The sequence below is a fragment of the Homo sapiens genome, chromosome 8 (genome assembly GCF_000001405.40).
Source record: "Homo sapiens chromosome 8, GRCh38.p14 Primary Assembly".
NCBI classification, from domain to species: Eukaryota; Metazoa; Chordata; class Mammalia; order Primates; family Hominidae; genus Homo; species Homo sapiens.
The window spans coordinates 90,460,453-90,483,423 of record NC_000008.11 but is presented as its reverse complement, the minus strand read 5'-3'; the positions used below and the strand labels follow the sequence as shown (position 1 = coordinate 90,483,423).

The 22,971-nt window shown below is 36.0% G+C and overlaps 1 long non-coding RNA gene across 2 annotated transcripts in view, besides 1 other annotated feature; it reads left to right on the top strand.

Annotated features, from left to right (window-relative positions):
- The window catches only part of LOC124901975 (uncharacterized), a 267,232-nt gene that overhangs the window by 78,917 nt on the left and 165,344 nt on the right, over window positions 1-22,971 (top strand). The window lies entirely within an intron of this gene.
- Window positions 15,617-15,736: an enhancer, noted in NCBI's record as "active region_27612". NCBI's record gives its function as "activates an Ori minimal core promoter by ATAC-STARR-seq in GM12878 lymphoblastoid cells {active_cell/tissue: GM12878}" and the evidence as "EXISTENCE:reporter gene assay evidence [ECO:0000049][PMID:35858748]".

The window sequence follows — 22,971 nt, the reverse complement described above, 5'->3', positions numbered from 1 at the left end:
TTTATTGCAGCACTGTTCACAATAATAAAGACTTGGAACCAACCGAAATGCCCATCAGTGATAGACTGGATTAAGAAAATGTGGCACATATACACCATGGAATACTATGCAGCCATAAAAAATGATTTCATGTCTTTTGCAGCAAACTAACACAGGAACATTAAACATGAGTTCTTGTCTCAGCAAACTAACACAGGAACATTAAACCGAACACTGCGTGTTCTCACTCACAAGTGGGAGTTGAACAATGAGATCACATGGACACAGGGAGGGGAAGATCACACACTGGGGCCTTTTAGGGGATGGGGGGCTGGGGGATGGTTAGCATTAGGAGAAATACCTAATGTAGATGACAGGTTGATTAGATGGTATCTTATTGTGGTTTTGATTAGCATTTATCTGATAGTTAGTGATGGTGAGCATTTTTTCATATGTTTGTTGGCCACTTGTATGTCTTCTTTTGAGATGTGTCAGTTCATGCCCTTTGCTTTTTTTCTTTCTTTCTTTTTTTCTTTTCTTTTCCTTTTTTTTTTTTGAGACAGGTTCTCATCACTCTGTCACCCAGCCTGGAGTGTAGTGGCACAATCATGGCTCACTGCAGCCTTAATCACCCTGGGCTCAGATGATTCTCCCACCCAAGCCTCCTGAGTAGCTGAGTCTACAGGTGCACACCACCATGTCTGGCAATTTTTAAAATTTTTTTGTAGAGATGAGGTTTTGCCATGTTGAACAGGCTGTTCTTGAACTCCTGGGTTGAAGCGATCCACCTCTGTTAGCCTCCCAAAGTGCGGAGATTACAGGTGTAAGCCACTGTACCTGGCTTCTTTGACTACTTTTTAATGGGGTTATTTGTTTTTTTCTCTCATTGATTTAAGTTCATTATAGATTCTAGATATTAGACAATTCTTGAATACCTAGTTTGTGAATATTTTCTCCCATTCTGTAGGTTGTCTGTTTATTCTGTTGATAGTTTCTTTTGTTGCGCAGATCTTTAGTTTAATTAGGTCACACTTGTCAATTTTTGTTTGTATTGCGATTACTTTTGAGGACTTAGTAATAAATTCGTTGCCAAGGCTGATGTCTAGAAGGTTATTTCCTAGGTTTTTTTCTAGAATTTTTATAGTTGGAGGCCTTACATTTAAGTCTTGAATCCATCTTGAGTTAATTTTTGTATATGATGACAATTAGTTGTCCAGTTTCATTCTTTACATATGAATACTTATGCTCTAATATTTAACAGTAGCTTTAAGTGACAAGGATTTTGCATAATATTTGTATTACTAGTGTAGGGAAGTTAGAACACTTTGTCTTGAATCAGAAAATTAAAATATTATATATATATATATATATATATTCTTTCTTGAGCGTATGGGCAGGATGTTACCTTGAAATTTAAAAATATTGTTTTCTGTTTGGAAAAAATTATCATAAAGATATATTACAATGTAATTGTATTTATGTTATGCTTTTTTATTACTAATTTACATATAGGAGAAAACTGAGCTGTAAAAAATAATTTTAAATCTTTGTGAAATTATTCTAATAGTTAAGCAAGGAAGAAATCCAGGGAAGTGAGTGGCTGTTATTTTGATAGAGATAAAAAAATAGCGGCTACCATTTATTGAGCCCTTTGATTGTTCCATGTCTCAAATAAGTAATTCATATGCTTTCATTTAATCCACACATTCATTCAACAAATATTTATTATGTGCTTACAATGCTGCAGATATTGTTCTAAATGCTGGAGATACGGCAGTAAACCAAAAAAGTGGTGGGGGTTGAGCAGACGTGGGGTCTCTGGTCTTGCTCCATTATTCTATCCTCCACAGAGGGTTCCTTCTAAACATTAAATCAGATGGTCTCTCTTTGCACAAATGCCTCTACTGGCTTCTTGTCTCATTCAGAGTAAAGCTTTCCTGACAATAGTGCTAAAGGTTCTGGAGGATCTTTAGTCTCCCTGTCCTACCCCATTTTCTACCACTCTCTCTTTTGCCTGGCCCACTTCTGCCATCATAACCACCTTGCTTTCCTTTGAATATGTCAAGAATATTCTTGCTTCAAAATTTTTATACTTGCTACTTCCCTACCAGAAATGCTCTTTCACTGAAAGATTCTCAGTCAAGGTTTTGGGTCTCTCCTCCACTGTCAGTGTTTCAAAGAGCTTTTCCATGACCATCTTAAAAAACAGCAATACCCTACCCACACCAATTATTTACTATTTCCTTTAACTTTCTTTAATCCTCTCTATGACTCTTATCACCACCTGACATAAGATCTGTTTTTTGGCTGTGTTTTTGAGGTCTTACCTCAAAAAATCTTTGTTCACACCAATGTCCTGAAGTGTTTCCAGCATATTTTCTTTTAGTAGTTTCATAGTTTGAGGTCTTATATTTACATCTTTACATCAGTTTGATTTGATTTTTGTATGTGGTAAGAGATGGAGGTGTAGGTTCATTCTGCTGCATATGGATACTCAGTTTTTCCAGCACCATTTATTGATGAGACCAAAAGACATACAAATGGCCAACAGGTATATGAAAAAATGCTCAAAATCACTAACCAAGAGGGAAATGCAAATCAAAACCACAATAAGATATAATCTCACTCCAGTTACAATGGCTATTATTAAAAAAAACAAAAAAGTAACAATTGCTGGCAAGGATGCAGAGAAAGGGGAACTCTCCTATACTATTGGGGGAATGTAAACTAGTGCAGCCACTATGAAAAACAGGATGGAGTTTCCTCAAAAAATTAAAAATAGAACTACCATATGATCAGCAATCCCACTGCTGGATATATATGCAAAAGAAAGAAAAGCAGTATGAGATATGCTTGAGGAGATATTTGTACCCCCATATTTATCACAGCATAATCACAATAGCAAAGATATGGAATCAACCTAAATATCCAACAATGCATGAATGAATAAAGAAAATGTGGTATATATACACAAAAGGATATTATTCAGCCATACACAAGAATGAAATCCTGTCATTGGCAGCAAAATGGATGAGTCTGGAGGACAAAAGTGAAACAAGCCAGGCGCAGAAAGACAAATATCACATGTACTCTCTCACATGTGGGAGCTAGAAAGAGTTGGTCTCAAACAGATGGAGAGTGGAATGGTTGCCAGGAGCTAGAAAGGGTATGGGACAGGATGGGATGAAGAGAGCTTGGTAATGAGTGCAGAAAAATGGTTGGGGGACTATAGTTAACAATAATTTATTTTATATTTCAAAACAGCCATAAGAGAAGATTTGGAATTTCCCCAACACAAAGAAATGATAACTGTTTGAGGTGATGGATGTCCCAATTACTCTAATTTGATTATTACACATTGTATGCATGTGTCAAAATATCACACATACACCCTAAATATTTACAAATACTATGTATCAATTGAAAAGAGAAATGAAATATGGGAAAAAAGCAAGGCTTAGTAAATCAACCTCCAGAAAGACACACGGTAAATAAGTGGTGGAACTGTGAGTCACACTCAAAACCTATTTTATCTCCTGGAAAACCGTAAGGTTTATAAACTCCAAAAGGAATATCAACTCTAAGAGCCAAGGGGTCATTGACACTTCTATTATCAAAGGAGGGGAATTAAAAAATCCTTCTCACTAACATTACAAAGGAGAAAAGAAGACATGGACAATGATCCATAATTCTTAAGGTTCATGTATAAAGATATGTAGGATTTTGCCTTTTAAAAAGTACTTGTATTTTAAGTATTGTGCTCAACTCTTTTGCTTTTGGTGAGTACATAACTGGATACTTTAATATAAGAGGTCTAATTGTAAGGAGAAGAATAATTGAATGAAAAACATGTTACTCCATGCATTTCTATTAAGCTGATCTACAGTGGGTCTGGTTGTTTAGAATGGCAAGCCACAATCCAGATTTCAATATTCAGTTGGGAGTAGCTTAATCTAAGCTTTATTATGAGTCAATAGTTTCTTAAAAACTCAAAAGTAGAAAAGAATGGCACATGTCATAATGACTTACTTGGATTTTTTTTTTTTTACCCTAAAAAGGTTTCACTTTTGCTTTACAGACCTATTCAAAACAAAGGATCAATTATTTTAGTAGAAGATTAGCACTCTCAGAAAAGTTACTTCTCTTCAAACAAATTCTAGTTTGGGAATTATGGCATTTCATTGAGTTTCTTTTAGCCTTTGGAAGCTATGATTCTGTTGGGAGTTTGTTGGTTAGGACATAATGTCAGTGAGGACAATGTCATAGATTTTAAATTTCTCTAGACTAATGAAATTCATTCAGCCTCATAAATGGAGACTTCACATTTCTGCATTATTTAGGCTACAAACAAACCTGCTGCAACAGCTATTTGTTGACTTAAAATAGAAGTTTATTTTTCTTTCATAGATAGTTCAGAAGTGAGTGGTTCAAGGCCAGTACAGAGGATCTTTGAACCTTACCATGTGGCTTTTGGGTTTTCTTCAGTCATTGCAATTCTCTAGCCAGTGGGAAATGAGGAAATCAGGGTAAGCAGAAGTTGCACCTATCACCACTTATATCCTATTGGCTTAACTTTTTCATATATCCACTCTAAGCTGCAAGCAAGGTTGGAAAATGTGATGTCTAGCTTAGGCATCCATTTCCCAGCTAAAACTCAAGGAGGTCTACTATAGGAAAGAAAGACGAGAAAACAAATATTGGGGCATAATTCACAGTTTTTTGACACAACTTGTATTCAGAAAGTCATGCCACAAAAGCCATAGCATGAATGCCATCATTGATGAATTGATGGCAATTAATAAATGGATTGAAGCAGTATTGTCATTGGAGAGAAATTTCAAAGCTTATCCGTTATTCCAAGTCTGTAGTTTTAGCCTTATAAATGAAATACCATATGTTATTGCAATTCTAAAGTTACAAAGATTCCAGTGCCCCATTCCTCTAGCCATGTTAGCACTCGCCTAAAACAAGTCTTTAAGCTTTTTTGTATATACTACATATCTATTTTATTATTTATTTATTTATTTTAGATTCAAGGGATACATGTGCTTGTTTATTACATGGGTATTACATACATAATAGTGGGGTTTAAGCTTCTAGTGTACCTGTCATCTAAATATTGAACATTGTAGCCATACACTACACATTTAAATACTAGCATTTCAGTGGTGCATAAGAAGGAATATAGCACTCATAATAACACTGAACAAGTCAGCAATAATGGTGATGAAATCACTATTACAGAGTTACAGTGTCTTCCAGTGACTATAAAAGCTGCACAATAATGACAACAATTCCTTGGTTGACCCTTCAGCACTGTGTTATACTGAATCTAATTATTCCCTTCCTGAGCTGTTCTTCCTTATATGTTTCATTCTACCCTAGAGCTTATTTTGGCCCTGACTTGACATTTTGCTATGTCTCTTAACTCATAGTGAGCCTAATTCTACTGCTTGCAATATGCAGTGGAGTCAACACTTCACTTGATAGAATGCTACTGAAACAATAGGTAAGCTCAATTAAAGCAAAAATAAATGTTATATGTTGAATGAAATTTAATGGCAAGCACATAAAGTGTTCCTGGCACTCAGAGAGTATGTCTGCATGACATAAAAATGCCCAAGCTGCTCAGACCACTCTGAATGGCCAGCATGGAAAGGGTTTTTCAGTGGTGTTCCCTTAAATACTGGCATTCTTTTGGAAGAGCAGATATTTGCAACATTAACAAGTTGAATGTCTTGCTCTATAAGTTGACTTAGTGTGGAAGCATAAAAGGTCATACAGGAAAACAAGCATTTTATGGAGTGGACCTTTAAAGGTTAGTACTTTGTATATTTGGATTAAAGATACTATTAGTCCTTTTATCTCTCCCAAAAGGAAGAGACTTGGGGGTCTAATATAACCAGTGCACGTTAAGACAGAAGAAAGAAAAGCACCAAAGACCCAAGCAAAGGGAAGTGCTTTTGCACAGATCCCACTAAAAATTGGGAGATTGCTTTTATAAACTGCTTTCATAAACTTTCCATGTTAATTAGAAAACTAATTCAGGACTTACAATAATGAGACAATTGATTTTTTCATCATTCATTGGGAAATTGAAATTCTTTGTTGACTTGAAAACTATCAGAAGTTCTTGACTCTGGCAATAGCTGCCTGACATTGGACAAGGCACAGATATACAAAAGGCTTTACTTTCTCATTTAGAAACTGTTGTAAATGTCAAAAGAGCTGATGTACTTGAAAGTGCTTCACAGACTGTTAGGCATATGTAAGTATGAGCTAGCTGTAATGAAGATGAAGTTCCTACTGAAATGTATTTTACGTGAACATAGCATTCAGCTAAGTGCATCATACACAAATATACAGTAGGTAAAATTTGTCTTCAATCTCACACCCTTTTTAAAATATTATATTTTTCCTCTTTTCTGTAACCATTTCCCTTTAAGCATATGTTTAATGTCCCATTCTTGCTAACTTTTTAGCTTAAGGATGGGAACATTTGGTGTCTGTGGCTTACTTCTCCCTAGAAACCCGTCAGATGAAATGAGAGGTACTTACAAGGCATGTGTCACAAACTCTTAGGTGTATCTAGTGCAAAGTAGAAATAAAGGATAGATAATTTACAGTTCTCACAGACAATATTAACTGAACATCATTTTAATAGAGGCATCATTGCTTTACATTTGTGTGTACACATAAATATAAACATATGTAACGATATGTATAACTTTGAAAAGCAGGAAACAATTTGGCTTCTTAAATTAATTTTCAAATCTGGAGCACATATCAGCTAGAGGAGTGGCAGAGACAAACAGGACTGAAAGAAAAATAGGTCATTGATTATAAAAACTTATAATCTTCATCAAGTTTGTTACGTGATCATGGAATTTTCACTCTGAATTCAATATTACTGTTCCTGGATATAAAATTTTTATTCAGAATATATATCACTTAATTAAACAAATGTTATTCACCTGACTAGCATAGAAAACACTTGACAAGATATGATAGGAAATAAAATGTAAATAAAACTTGTATATTGACCATGAGATGTTCAGAGTCCACTGAGAGACAAAAGCATATAAAAATCCTCAATGAAAGAGAGGCTCTAATTCAAAGAAATGAATAAATAATGTGCTGTGAGGGGAAAAGAGTAATTTGAATGTCATATTAATTTATAAAATAATTAATGGAAACTGTAAGTCATGAATAGAACTAGGTCCTAAAAAGTTAACCTCCACTAATATCAAGAAACCAACACTTCACTAGATTTTACATGTTTATATATATATTTATATATAATATAATTATATAATGTATACATTTTTTAATCAAGGCACTGCAGTTACTACAAAGAAGGCATTATGAACTGATTCCAGCTCTACAGTAATTTAAAAGCTTCTTGGTGAAGTAATGTGAACAAAATAAAAGATTTGAATCACATTTCAAGACCATGAAGTTCCACAAGGCAGATTATTAATTGCTGAAAATATCCTTCAGATGCTAACTAAAGAAATGCTCACCTCAGCTGGGGACAGAAACGATGTATGGGAGAGGTGCAATTAAAGTTGGTACTGAACTTTGGGAGGGCTTTGCATAGTTAATCAGGAGGCAGGAGGTCATGGGCAGAAGGAAGCATGAGGAAAAACAAACAGGTGTGTAAATGCTAGGCCGGAAGTCCCATCCTCTGTGAAGGCTTCTCCAAGCCATTCTCACTTCTGGTCCATCTATGTCTTTTGCACATTCACATTTTGTTGTATGTATCACGTTGCAATGTAATTACTGATTAGACAGTTGTTTCCCCTACTTCACTGAGTATTCCCTGAAAACAGGAATTCTGATCTACCTTTGTATTTCTAGTCCCTCCATGGTCCCCGGCACATTGAAGACGCATTTAATAACTTAACCTTGAAATGAGCCAATAGAACTCTGTGGGAAAATTGAGATGACAAGTATGGAATAGCAAATTGGAATGAGTTTGAGAAAGACTTTAAAAACACAAATATAAAAATTTTGAACTTCGTACTACAGACAATCGATTTTATTTTGTTAAATTGAAAAGTGGCCTCAAAAATTATTTGTAAGCATATTCTCCCAGGCGTCACCAGCCTTTGATCAAAATGTGTACATTAACAGCTGATTTTTTAGTATATGGTCTCTACCATCACTTCTTCAGGAACTCCAGAACCACCCTCCAAGGCTAATTAATTGTGGAGGTCCCAGGGAGTAAACTGCATATGCTTAGCAACAAACTTGTTCATATTCTTTTCCTCTAGCCTTTTGTATAGGTTTGCTGCTCACAAAGTACTGGAGAGAAGCAACTCAAGAGCCTAAATTCCACAGGTTCCAACAGGTTCTTGCTTCCCTCTTTCTTATACAAGGGGCAGACCTGGTGGTTCAGACTCTCTAAGAAGTGAGCCCTCTCCATCTCTCCTGCTCACCCTAGATTTCTCTCCTTCAGCTATTATTCCACTTCAGGTATCCACTCATGCCTCAAGCATTATCTCTCTTTTTTGCAGTCAACCCCTGTCCTAAACAAAATCATCATTATACAGACATATTCCTAGTCAGAGAAATGGGTCATGGGTCTACAAGTTCCACACACCCACCTCCCAATTGGCTTATTTAAGAGATTCTACTAAGAAAGATTGATCTGACAGTAGTGTGCAGATGGAGGAAAGAAAAATAAACATGGAGGCAAGAGGATTCATTTCAAAGTTTATAATGTAGGAATAAGTTGATAATAAAGGTCTAATAGGACTGTGGTTGTCAAGATCACATGGGAGAAAAGATGAATGGGAAGAGTGTGTGGAGTGGCGAGTGATTGCAAATATGAGTAAGAAAGAAGTTGAATATGCTGTGAGCAAATAATATGGCCGTTCTCAGGAAACAGAGGAGGAAGGAGAGACCATTATTTTGATATTCAAGTGAATTGGGCTTGGGGTGCTGGCAACATTTCAAATGGACATACTCAGCAGGAAATTGGAAAACATTGGAGAGCATGTAGAATGAGTTGTTCGAATTGTTTAACAATGTTATAGATTTGTTTTGTTGTTCAGGAACATCTTGAGTATTCTTGGGATACCCGAGAGAGGGTACAAGGAGAGAAGCAGAAGGGCAGAATCACCTAAGTTCCACTACATTTCTAAAAGTACCCACATTTTACTAACTCGATGTCTTCACAATGCTTGATGTTATTCCGTAAGCATGACACAGGGTTTTTCCTTCCAGGACAAAGGTACCAGTGGATGAGAATAGTACCAGGCAATAAATAATTAAAATTGTTACTTAAATTTGCTTGTAAACTAAAAATATAATTATATATGGTATATCCTATTCTATGCATATTACAGATAAAGAATAATTCTGTCTCTTTATTTTTTCTTCAACTAAATACTTCTGATTCTTGAGGATTTGTGTCACAAATATAGCAAATATTAATGTTTCCTAAATCTACATACATAGAACCATCCCTTGTTCATATTCAAAGTCAGCAAAAGAAAATAATCTCTGAATTCTCAATGTCTAGCAAGGTGTCTGGCACAAATCAAGTGCTCAATAAATTTTTATTGACTGAGTGAATTAGAGAAAAAAATTGGTGTAATTCTTAAATGAGAAAATTTTTAAAGTATCCAAAAAGCTATAAAGAAAATTTAGCATACGGTGCTATTTAGAAAACATGGTGCAGTTTTTCACTTTGAAAAAAAAATTAAACATTGTACCTTCAAAATAGATTTTTAAGGCTTTTAAAAACCCAAATAGCTTATTTATTTCCAAAAATGAAATTGCAAACATCTGGAAGCAAGATGCAAACTCTTGCCCTTGGAGATTATTTCTTATTTTAAGATTTATCCTCCTGTGTTGCCATGACTACTGACCATGAACTGAAATTGCTGTGTAATACATTCTAACTCCCATAGTGATTATACTGAAACCAGTGGTAAGTTTCTAATAATTAGAGGAGACAACTTCAAAGGTGGACTTGACAGAATCTTCATACATTATGTTAAAATCTTCTCCAGGGTTTTGGGCTATTGGTTGTTTATTCAAATGTGGCATTAGTATGGACAGGGTAATTAAATATGGAGCAAGAATTTCTGCCAAATATAAATTCTTTTGTCACATTCTAATGTGTCAAGTCATGTCAAAAAGGAGAAAAAGAGACAACCCAATTCAATGTTAGTTGGATGTGCAAGAGAGTGGTTGTGTATTTGGTAAACAAATGCTCATCCTCTGAGAGCTCCTAAAATAGTAATTTCTACTCTGAGGCATATAAATTCTCAGTTGGAGAGAAAGAAATAATGTTTGGTGTTCCAGAAAATAAAATGAACCCACTTAGGCATACTGACACCTATAATACTTAATAATTTACTCTTTCATTAGCACTAGGGTGATTTACATTATTTTTATATAAGATTACCAAGCTTGTGAATCATGTAGGAGAAAGTTATTTGTGCTTTAATAGCATATGGTTTCACATAACTGCATTCTTCCTGAAGGCAGATAGATGGCTACCTTTAGCTAGTATATTTCAGACTGACCAGGAAAAGGGAAAGACAGAGTGAGATATTGTTGAGATCGTATCTCACAACTGCCCTAATCTATGGGCAAGAGTGATGTATTTGTTTTCCACTGGGGCTAAGAACCATGCATTTTCCAAAATCAGACGTATCTTTTGCTTCCAGAAATGTTGCATTCTCATCGCAGTATTTTAACCTAAAAGTAAGCACTAGGAGTATTATTCTAATTGTGCTTCTGCATTGAGTTAGATGATGGGTGCGCTATCAAGAACAGGAGGGAATAAGCCGCTTCCCTCATGCTGATGGTGCTTCCACAGTAGGAGTGGATGAGATAAATCGCAAAAGGAAAGAGAGAGAAGGAAGGAAGGGAGGGAGGGACGGAGGGAAGGAAAGAAGGAAGGAAGGAGGGAAGGAAAGAAGGAAGGAAGGAAGGAGTTGGGAGAAAGGAAGGATGGGAGAAAGGAAGGGAGGGAGGGTGGATGAGAAAACGAGTTGATAAGTGTCACGAAGGAAAGAAGACAGGATGCTGAGGTACAGAATGATGGGTGGCAGTGGAAGGTAGGAGAGACAGCTACTGTAGATAGGGAGGTCAGGAAAAGTCCATGTGAAGAAGTGACATTTCAGAGGGATCCAAAGGGCTTATATGCTATAGGCAGACTGTTGGAAGTGAAAGAATGAGAAGTTTGAAGTTTAAATCCTGCATCTTTTATTTAAACTCTTATTAATTCAATGAATATTACACCGGGTATCTGCTACCTGTAAGTCACTGTGTTGTGTGCAGGAGGGTCCCTCATAGGACAAAACAGACATGGCTCCTCATTTATGGCACTTACAGTGTCATAGGGAAGAGAGCTGTTAACCAAGGAGTTTCCACTGTGAGGTATGGCACTGTAAAGTTGACTACATCATTGTAGAATAAAGTGAATCACAGGAAGTGTGGAATACAAGATTCCAGAGAGATGAAACTGATGTTTTGTCAGCCTCAGGACACATAAGCTCCTCCGGGTCCCAGGAGATGTGAGAAGAGACCTTGAAAAGGACCTTGAAAAGGGCTTTTTGTGCATAGACTAGAGTTCTATTTAAGGAACCTAAAACAAAGGAGGAACAGAGCCCTCTTTTCCTCTTCTCACCTGCTCCCCAAATCTCTACTCTTTGCACCTCACATTTGATGTGTGTGTGTGTGTGTGTGTGTATGCGCACAGGAGCACCATACACACATCCTGGGAAGAGAAGCTTTTGGTTCACTCCTTTTGCAAACAAGTGTGAAGAGCACTGCACCTTGTCACCAGCTACATATAAAAGAGAAAATCTAAAGAAATAGAGCACAGGATACCCTACATGCACTCTGAACTTAACTGATTGACTTGCTCATCAGAATGAAAGCACTGTTCCCAAAACTGGAGTTAAATAAAATGTCCTTGTCCTTGACCTTGATCTTTCCTTATGGAATAAGTGAGTAGAAACGCATATGCTCTCCTGGCCAAAGACAACGATGATTGAACCTCTTTACTCAGATTATGACCAAAAGCAACACATACTGTCTATCCTCTGTGGATCGTGCTCTCCTGAGCACTGAATCATCCCTGTGGTGTTGTAGGCCTCCACACTCCCATGTCTCTGTCTTAGAAAAATAGCCTCTGAGGATCTCTGCTCAATGAGAAAATAAGAGAACTGAGATCTAAAAAATATTGCCACAGTTATATTGATTCTTTTATCAATGATTGACAAGAAATATTTTTGTTAAATTGAAATAGCTAATTCATAGGTTTCTATAAGTGATATATAATATCTCCCAGTCAATTTGAGTCAATATTTTATGATAAAATTAGAATCCTTATTTAGTTTGCAAGACCTAGGACATTATGGTCTGTAAGTCAAAACAGTGGTCTGTCTTCCTCAGGAAAAGTACAAACTAATAAGCTTAGTGATAATTAAAAATTTGCTTGAGCAAGGACTTTTTATTAATTTGAGTTCAGAAGCAGTCTATTACTAATACAGATTGGAGAAGCATAAAAGTATCATAAAATATGGCCTCCCCACCACTGTTCTCCAAGTTGTCTCTGAATGGAAAGGTATTTGGTGATATATAGATGACAAAACCAATCATATAACAATAAACCACAGCAAAGCTCTTACATATTAAAAACTAATAAATACAAGTAGATAAGACACTGTCAGTTTATGTAGTTCATAGTACTCAAGAATGCATTATTTTCACAAGAGCAGAAATTGAATCCTAGAAATGTAACCTTCGGAGGATAGTTTCATTCTAAGAAGAATCATCAACCTTCTAGGCTTCTAAGCTAAAGGAGGAAGAAAAATGATTTGGAGAATCCCATGTGACTTTCATCATATGATTGCTTTACTATCATATTTATTTCCTAATTTACTGTGCATTGGTAATTTACTGTGCATTGGTTAATGTTTGTTTCAAAATAAAGAGGTGGTATTGAGTTGAAATAGCCATTCCTATATAAACAAGTCCTTGGATGTAAAGAATTAAAAATTAAATTCATAGTTCATAAGCAAATAATTGAAAGATAAGAAATTACAGGCCATATAAAACCCTATCGAAAGATTATATGAAATACTAAGGCTTGAGAATTATTTTTTAAGAGTTTCACCATGTATAAAATAACTTATGTCAAGAATATTCTAATTCTGAAATTTAAATGTAATACATAAATGTACATGTAAATATAAATGAAACTTCAAAAAGAATAATTATTACAACTTTAAGAAAAAGTTAAAAAATTATTACTATGATAAATTGACAGTAGAGATTATAAAATTGTATCTGAGTCAAGTTATTCATCAATTGGAAGGATCATAGGTAAAGCTATCAAAAGTCATTGCCAATTTCTGAATACTGTTGTTACTATTTTATTTTTATGAAGATTTATTCCTATATTTGAATAAGGGTATGTAACATTTTGGAGTAGCCATCCTTTAAATATGACATTAACATTATAAAATCCAAATGGTATATTTACATTTCTTTCTACTAGATTCCTAATCTCCCTTTCCACTGGGAAGAGACTGCATTACTATTAAATCAGTGAAAAATTCTGGCCTAAAACAAAACTAACCTTTATTTCTAAACCTCTTTTTTCATACTTTTCTTAAATTAGAAACCATTACGTTGACTTAAAATCATGCTCTTGTAGCTAATGCCACGCTATTAAAAATCCTACCTTTATCAATAAAAAATGAATTAAGCAGAATAGATGAGAATACTGCAAATTATGGTAACTTGAGTTAACTCTATTAAAATGTATCTTATCAACTATTAAAAAGGTAAATACAAGTACAGAGCTAGTAGTTGGTCAAATATAGGAACAGCTTAAATGCTTAAAGAAAATACCTTAGAATGGTAAAGAGGAAGAATTTGAGCCTTTGACGTGTCAACCATTGCAACAAAGAAAGGAAGCTCAGTTTAGAAATGTAATAAATAGAAACTGAGTGATAGCCATTAGATACTAAATAGCCAGCATAAATTTCTAAACAAACATTGGTAGTCCCAATACCTCTTGGTACAAGTAGCATAGCATGACAACATGCGGGGGCTTACACCTGTAATTCCAACACTTTGGGAGGCCAACACGGGTGGATTGTTTGAGCTCAGGAGTTCGAGAGCAGCCTGGGCAACATGGCAAAAGCCCATCTTTACAAAAAATACAAAAAAAAAATTAGCCGGGCATGGTGGCATGCACTTGTAGTCTCAGTTTCTTGGGAGATTGAGGCGGGAGGATTGCTTGAGCTGGGGAGTTGGAGGTTGTAGTGAGCCAAGATCATGCCACTGTACTCCAGCCTGGGTGACAGAGTGAGACTCTGTCTCAAAAACAAAACAAACAAAAATAAACTTATCTCACTTGACTCTATTTTTGTTTTTATGGCTTGAATCAACCAATACATTTTATGAAAAGTACTGAGATATTTATAGCAAACTAAGGAAATTTCAATAGAAAATAAAAAGAAAATCTAAACATGTACTCAGAATTTCCAGATAAATGTCTCAAGAAGTTTGCAGATTTAAGACACTAATAAAATAAATAATAACATTTCTAGAATTTAACTATCTTTTAACAGAAGAAAGATGCTGCTACAACAAATAGGTCTATCTCTGCACCCAATTCATATTTAAGAATACATCAAAGATGAAAATGTTGAAATGTACAATGTTTAAATTAGTGGGAAGAGTATGTGTGACTAAAATCTGCACCTGGCTCTGCCATTTACAGCTATGTAGCATGTCATGTATCTTTCTACATGTCTGTATACATGTCTGCAAAATGAAAGGGGTTGTCTCATTAATTAAATTAATGCTTAATGTTTTGGTTTTGAGAGGTAAGGATTATTTGAGACAATGTATATGAAGGTACTTTAAAAAAAATCAGACGTAGCACAAATATAAGGTATTGTTACTATGTTTAAAGTACTGTTAAATATATGAAGTAGGATTTATGTAGCAAAGAATAGAGATCTGGTAACCTAATTAAGATACAAAAACTAGGCTATCCTAAAATTTTTTTAAATGATATAAAGTTGGAGTTTGTCTCTAAAACTTGAAAATTTGACTAGATATTTTGAAGATAAGAAGCAGCAAAAATTAGTGAGTGAGTAAATTTTTAATCATGAAGAATTAGGATTGGTCTTTATTTCCAGACTTCTGTTTACACTGAATGCTTGCTGCTCAGAAATTGGTCTGAGAGAGAGAGAAAAAAAAAGTGAATTAGCCCTTTATGGGATTTCAAAAGGAGGTCAGTGCCTCCCTTAGCATATCTCAGATTACTCTGGAAAAGTGCCACAGTGAACTGTCAAGGAGAAGGCATTTTGAGGTGTGGCTGCATCGGGTGCCACAGCCCTAGCATAGACACACAGTTGACCCCTGGACATTGGTGGAAGCAATGGGCACTGCCATTTGAATGGGATGGATTTGCTAATTGATGGCTCAATTTGCCCCCTTGCTAAAATCTACTCTTGAATCTAGACACAGATGAAACTCAATGTGGGCCATGTACTTAGGAGCTGTGGTTAGCACACGCTGAAAGCCATGCTCACAAGCACAGGAAGTGAGAGCCCCTTGTGCAATCTCACTTGGTTTGACGTCATTGGAAATGCATGTTTTGTAAAAAGCAGGCATCGTGTCTGACTAATTACAGATCTTCTGGCTCTTTTACACAAGGAGAAGTTCATGATGTGGGTCCTAGCAGCATTTCTTTCAGGATTTCAAGGAGAAAGTCTTATGAAACCCTCTGATTATGACTCAATTTAATGTATTAATCAGTATAGAGATAGCTCAGTGCTCTCATTTATGAATATGAGCTTAGCTTACACCTCTCAGTGGCCTACATGATACTCTTTATAAGAAATGTACCAATATTTCTTATGCTCTCTCTGGTGGTTTAATTGTTATTTACATGCTAATAATCAGAATCTCCCTCACCTTCACCTGATTTCTTAATAGGCAGGCTGGCCACTGAACTCAGATTTCGTAAGAAATGACCTTGTTTTGTGTTTATAACTAGCTCTGTGGTAATATAAAAGATCCAAAAGATTGGAACAAAAGGAATGACAGTATATTTAGAACACATAGTGAAGGGTCTCATTCACAAATGCCAAGATATTTGAATATGTCTTCTTAGAAAATTATGAAAGTATTCAAATATATTGAAAACAAGTTGATGAAAACCATCGCTTTGTTTCCTGTGATGAGAAAACTGAAGTGAAAGCATTTCTAGCCTAGATTTGTAATGAACACATATTTCTCTGAATCAGAACTCTTAAATTAGTACTGATGATGGGCAAGGCTGAAATCTCTATTATGAAACACTTCACCAAAAAACGTCAAAGCCAGTCATCCTTTAAAATGGGTATGTTAATGACACTAGAAATATCAAATTGGAGCAGATAACAAATGGCTTAACACAGAAAAAGCATCATATGGAGCTTTCCCTAGATAATTTATTTTCCATTAATGAACCTATTTAAAGTGGATAATATATATCAGACAACATCTATATCTATATATCTATATTTATATCTATCTATCCATCTATCTATTTATTTACAATCTGGGGCCATAAATAATTTCAGAGTACAAGTTTATTTTAGGTAAGCAGCCTTTAGTAACATCTATTGAAAAAATTAGATACTACTGTTTCAGAATAACTATGAAAAACAAATGACTATACTCACTATGGCAATAAGGACTTGATTAGCTAGGTTACAGGGAGAGTAGCAAAAAATAGACAGAACCCTGAGCTTCAAAGTCAGATTCTACCCAGGTATGCTTGGGTTATATGTTTGTTGTTTTGAAGACATGATGTCTCTTTCAGCAAACAGGCATCATTATTTTATTTCTTTTATAAAAATAGATGATATTACTTAAATACGTCTTTCCAAATTACGCCTACTGTCAGAATACAACTCTTTTTCTTTCCTGTTAACATTTCCACATTTTTACACTGCTATTTTGGAAAGTTTAAGAAATTCTTCTCTGCATGTAATAGTCATAACTGCTCTCCCGCTTCTCAGAGAGCAGCACAGCATGAGGGGTAGAATGCATACAGCTTGCCTGGGATGTGCTAAATGTAGCCAAGAAAGGGTGTGTTCCTGCCCTTGATATAAGTATAAAGTGATGGAAGCACATTATAAACCCAGAGCAATCAAAAGGAAAGGATGGATAAATTAACCTAAAATTGTGTTAACATAATCCACTTTCCCCCAAACATGATTTTTTTTCCATTTCAATCCCCAAAAGTTGGGAATTTGATCATTGTTTCTAAATATTATCATCCTTTATCTCTTTTGTTTTACCTTTGAATTCCCATTACAATTTAAAATATTAATTTGACAAAAGACCTCCAAGAAGGCTTCCACTTACTTAAAGAAAAGTGTGGTATCATAGTATACAAATAGAGTCTAGATTTGGGTATTCATATTACCATCTATGCATAAGCACAGACTTATTTGTAAGAAAAATCTGATGTGTGATAAATGTCATTATTAAGAAAATTCTTATCAAAAGTAATTGAAAGAATACATGGGAAATATGGGCTTTTACCATGAAGGGGTCACTTCTCTACAGCCTACAGCCTCACTGAAAAGTATATAAGACTTTTAAGACTTAATGTTATATTAGCCTGCTTTTACACTGCTGACAAAGACATACTGGAGACTGGGTAATTTATAAAGAAAAAGCGGTTTAATGGACGCACAGTTCCTCGTGGATGGGGAGGCCTCATAATCATGGCAGAAGGCGAAAGTCACGTCTTATATGGCAGCAGGCAAGAGAGAATGAGAACCAAGTGAAAGGGGTTGCCCCTTATAAAACCATCAGATCTTGTGACTTATTCACTACCACAAGAACAAGATGGCAGAAACTGCCCCAATGATTAAATTATCTCCCACTAGGCCCCTCCCACAACATGTGGGAATTATGGGAGCTACAATTCAAGATGACATTTGGGTGGGGTCATAGCCAAACCATGTAAAATGCCCTCATCATTTTGCAGGTATTTATTGCAAAATCCTCTTAATATCTTCCTACATTTCCCCATCCAGCCCTGTTCCAACCTGTTCTCCACACTTTTCTAGATGAATCTTACAAGGTCTCCATGAAAATCTGACTGAATCATACATCCTTGTATAAAGTCCTTCAAAGACTGGTGCTGGTAGCAGCAGCCTGCCTAACAGCATGGTTTATAAGGCTTTTCCCGACGTGGAACTTGCTTAATTCTGCAGTCTCATCTCTCAGCACTGTCAGACCCTTCACTGAAGCTTTTCTGAATTGTTTTTCTTACCTTAGTCTTCTAGCTTTATTACTTCAGTGCCTTTGCAAATGCTTCTTCCACACTTGAAACCCCAACTCTTCTCCCCTCTCTGCATATTTAACTCCTGCTCACTGTTCACCCCCTTCTCATGATGGAATCTGACATCCTCCTTGATATTTCTGTAAGATCCTCTGCTCACTACACTCATAGAGCATACTACCATGCTCTATTGTCATTATACACTTTGCTTTGCTCTCTTAATAAAATATAATTTCCCCAAGGGCAGGGATAATATAGTTTCTGTTTTCATGACTACCTTGTTGGTTTTATTGGAGGCAGTACCGACTAGTAGCTATGTGCACAGACACTGCGGCCAGAGTGCTTGGGTTCAAATATCAGTGCTGCCACTTCTTGGCCGTGTGATTCAGTGAAAGTTACCTAACCCTTCTGTGCCCCAGTGTCCTCATATGTAAAATGGGAATAATAAGAGTATTTACCTTATAGCATTGTGAGGATCAAGTAAATTAACATATGTAAATGCTCAGAACATGCTTCGCACTTATATTTGTGTGAGCTGTCATTCTGGCTGCAGCATTTCCAGTGTCTGACTCATAGTAGGGGATGCACACAACTCTGTTGTAAAAATTAAAGGATGATGAAATAACAAATATAATGCTTTTTCAATTATCCCCTTTTTATTGTCTCGTCTTCTACCCTTTATTATTAATAACTGACCCATTCATTCAACAAGTATTTATTATCTACTCTCATAGAACTGAGGATTATCTTTAAAATACCCACTTCATTTTGTGGAGGGCTTTGGAAAAAAAGTACCTGCCAGAAAAATGATAGAATTGGGTAAAAACTCATTCTCCTAGAGTGCTCATAATAATAGCCTCCAGTTAAGTTTATACTGGGAGCTCTCTGGGGTCTTTCCAAAGGTGAAGAAAATGATTACAACTTCTGATTTTTTTTTCATTTCCAATTTGTATGAACTTTTAAACTTCTTTTAGCACTTCACCTAACTATTATGAAATCAAGATCAAAGGCAATTTCTTAAAGAAAAAAAAGACGTAACTCTACTGTGAAGCTAGTTATTTCATAAAACTACATCTTCTGAAAAACCACATAAAAGAAGTGACCAGGAGAAAAGATTGAAAACCTCACAAGAATAGTCAGAAATTTCAATGAAATTAGAACTTGTTTTCAAAAAATCCAATTAAAAACAACAATGGACATGATCAAGTGTACCATTGCCCCATTCTGCACTTTTTAACTTTCTTACAAAGGAATGTGCTAAGCGAGGCTGACTTTTTCTAACTCTATTTCCCACTGCCTTCCATAATCTTTTCTTCCTGTTTTGTATATGTTCTCTTCAGTCTTGAACCCTGTTTTGGGGGACATAAGGTTCTGGTAACATTGTAGGTAAATGATCTGTATTCTCTGTGTGATGTGAGTGTGTGGAGGCCTTTCTGGAGAGTCATGAGAGAGCAGAGGTTAAGTGTCTCTGTCTCCAATCATTTCTTTCTGTGCATCTCTTCTCTCCTCCAATACTTTCTGGCTATGTTATTCCACCAATGTCATATGCCCTATGTCCACCTATATTATGGTGGCCATAATATAGGTTCTAAGTTATCTCTCTATCTGGTTAACCAGGTCTAGCATAGCATAGGGTGGCTGTAGGCACAGGTAAAGTAGCCCATGACAGGCAGAGGTTGGGGTCATTTACTTTATTTTGAGTTTCACTGTATCCCAGCATGTGGTGAAGCCCTGGCACTCAGTTTCTACTGGGTGAGTGCCTGCTACATGCCAGGCATTGTGCTAGCTGCTGGGTATTAAAAGATGAAAGGCAGTACAGCCCTTTCATGTACTAGCTCAGTGACCTGGGCTAGATAATTCACTCTCAGCAGAAATGTCTTCATTTTCAAAGAGGGCTGATGCCCATTCTATAAAGCTGTTGTAAGGACAAAATAGATAAAAGTTCTAGTACAGTCCTTTGTACATAGTAGGTGTTTAAAAATGATAACTGTTATTTTTGGTGATGACAGTGATGATGATGAGGAGGAGGATGAGAATGACAAGTCATCCTAGCATTCCAAGAGCCTAATGTCTAGTGAGGTTTGATGAATGCACGAGTCTCCCATACCTAATTATTGTGCTTGAAACTTAGAAGACAGTGCAAACCATGACTATTTTTGGATTATTTTGTTCCTTAATTTTGTACGATGGGTCCAAGAGTAAGCTATTGAATGATCAAAGATGCCACTATGAGAATGACAATTCTGACTCCTGCACAAGTGATCCTCGATAACTGGGGAGTGAATCCACCTCTTCTGGTAAAGAGAATCCCAGCAGAAAAGGAATGTGATTCTCAGAGAAGACACAAGGTACTTTGTAGGTTGATCACCCCTAACTTGAAGACAGAGAAGGCTGAGGTTCCCCAGAGCTAAAGCCTACATATGCAGAGAAGAGAGACTTGCTTAAAGAGGCTTCCACTGCGGGGATGAGAAAAAGCCCTTGAGAAGATGCTGAGCTTCTCACAATTAACATAAATTGAAAGATTTGTAGGGAAGCTTAAATCAATTACATTTTTTCAGTCAGCAACATTTATTGTGTTCTGATTACAGGCCAGGAAACATGGTCAGGCTGCTAAGGAAACAATGATGCACAAAAATCTGGGTTCTCATTGTTTCAGGGCTCATAGGTTAGTGAGGAACTCAGGGGAACTCAAACTAAGACCTTGTGAGAGAAAATAGAATGCTGGGGAAGGACAACCCAGATCTGAAGGACGAAGAGGTGCTAACAAGTCTAGGCACAGGGAACTGTGTATACAGATCCTGCAATACATACACAAGATACTGGCGAGTGTGTGGAACAGAAAGCTACTCAGGTGTCTGGGGAGCAGCCAGTGGGGTGATGAGTGGCTGCAAACAATACTGCAAAGGGAGGCAGAAAGATCTTATTATCATGTTCTTCTAGGAAAGCAAGGAGTACATATTGCTAGTATTCTGTAGCAGAGAGTGACATGGGACCTGGAAAGATGAACATCATGACATTTTGTGCCAATGAGCTTCATGTTTTTTCTAGCCCAAGGATTTTATCATTCCTGCAGGTGGGGTTTTGGGTATATTCAAGATACAGACTCTCTTCTCTTTCTCTCTTGCCAAAACACCTTCAGTAACCTGCTTAATATTCACGGCATTTTTTAAAAAACCCAAATTCTTTTTCACAGTATACATGGCCATCTCAGTCTTGGGTTTGACTCTCCATTCTGTCAGTTATAGCCTCATGGCTGGCCTTTAACAGGCTGCTTAAACAGTCTTTACTCTTCTTCATCTGATAAAAGAAATAACCACCTCATAGAGACATTGTGGATATTTTTCGAGCAAATATATTCATTAAGCACTTAACTCAGCATTTGACCCATAGTAATAGCTCAACAAATGGTAATTTTTTAGCAGTAAAATAACAATGTACATATTAGAACACCTATAATTAGAAGGAAAACATGTGCCTAAAAGATTTAGCTAAGAAATTTCATTGCTATGTTCAAGCAGAAAAATCCGTGTCCTTTCAGGTTGTAGTGTATTGAATATGTGAAATTGAGTTTCAGAAACACCTATGTACTCCTGATAAAAAAAAAGTTGTGAATGTCACTTGAACATATACTTTACAGATTTTTTTAAGACCATGGCTCAAATATGTAGCTTTGTGTATAATTGCTCTGCTTTCTGATGGGTAACAAACAATAAAATCTAGTAAGGTTTTCATTCTAATACTGTCTTTATTTAAATCTGATCAAAGCCTCAAATATATAGTGTGGTATTAAGAGTGTGATGGCTTCCACACTATGCCTATGCATGTTTAGAAGAGCCTCCTAGAGGATGGACTTCCTTCTGGAGGTGAATAACTAGTGAGAACTGCACACTGTGAGATCTGTAATAAAACACCTTGAATTCTGATTTTCCAACTTGCTCAAGTACTCTCCAGTTGATGCTATGTCCTGAATTAAATTTGAGTTACTGATCTCAAGCATTTGATTTTTTTATGGCTATGATGCATTTCATAGGGTTAAGATAACTCCTTGAAATAGAAATTATCCAAATGGGAAAGCTTGGGTGAAAGTATATGGATAAGCAATTCTGTCCTCCTACAAATTCGCTCCTCTTGAAAAGTCATTATCATTCTTTTGTTGCATATTTGAAGCATCCTGTAAGTAAGCACATTGCTGCTTGAGGAAGTTGCTGTTGGAAAGGCCCCATTTTCATGGTTCATAATAAAGAAATACTGCAACATTATGAAAGAATATTCACCAACTGGTGCGCTCTCAAAAAAGTATTCACAGCCATTGTGTATGATTTGTGAATAAAATAAAACATTAAAATGTGCATTCAGAATATTAGCATGTTAATCATATGCTTCCATATGGTGCTTACAGTTGTCTCCATTGTGTCCATTCAAAGTTATTTGATTTTAAACTTGTACAAGGACTTTATAAACACTTGGTAACCATCATTCATTGCCTTAGCAATATGTAGCTATTCTGACCTAAAGCTAAATGAGACAAAGTATTTTACAGCACTGGTGTGCTGTAAAAATTGAAATATTTGGTTCTGGTCTAAATTTTTAGGTTTGGGGGTTACTTAACAGGAAGAATATAAATTTCAATACTAGCTAATAATTGCAGTTTAACAGTG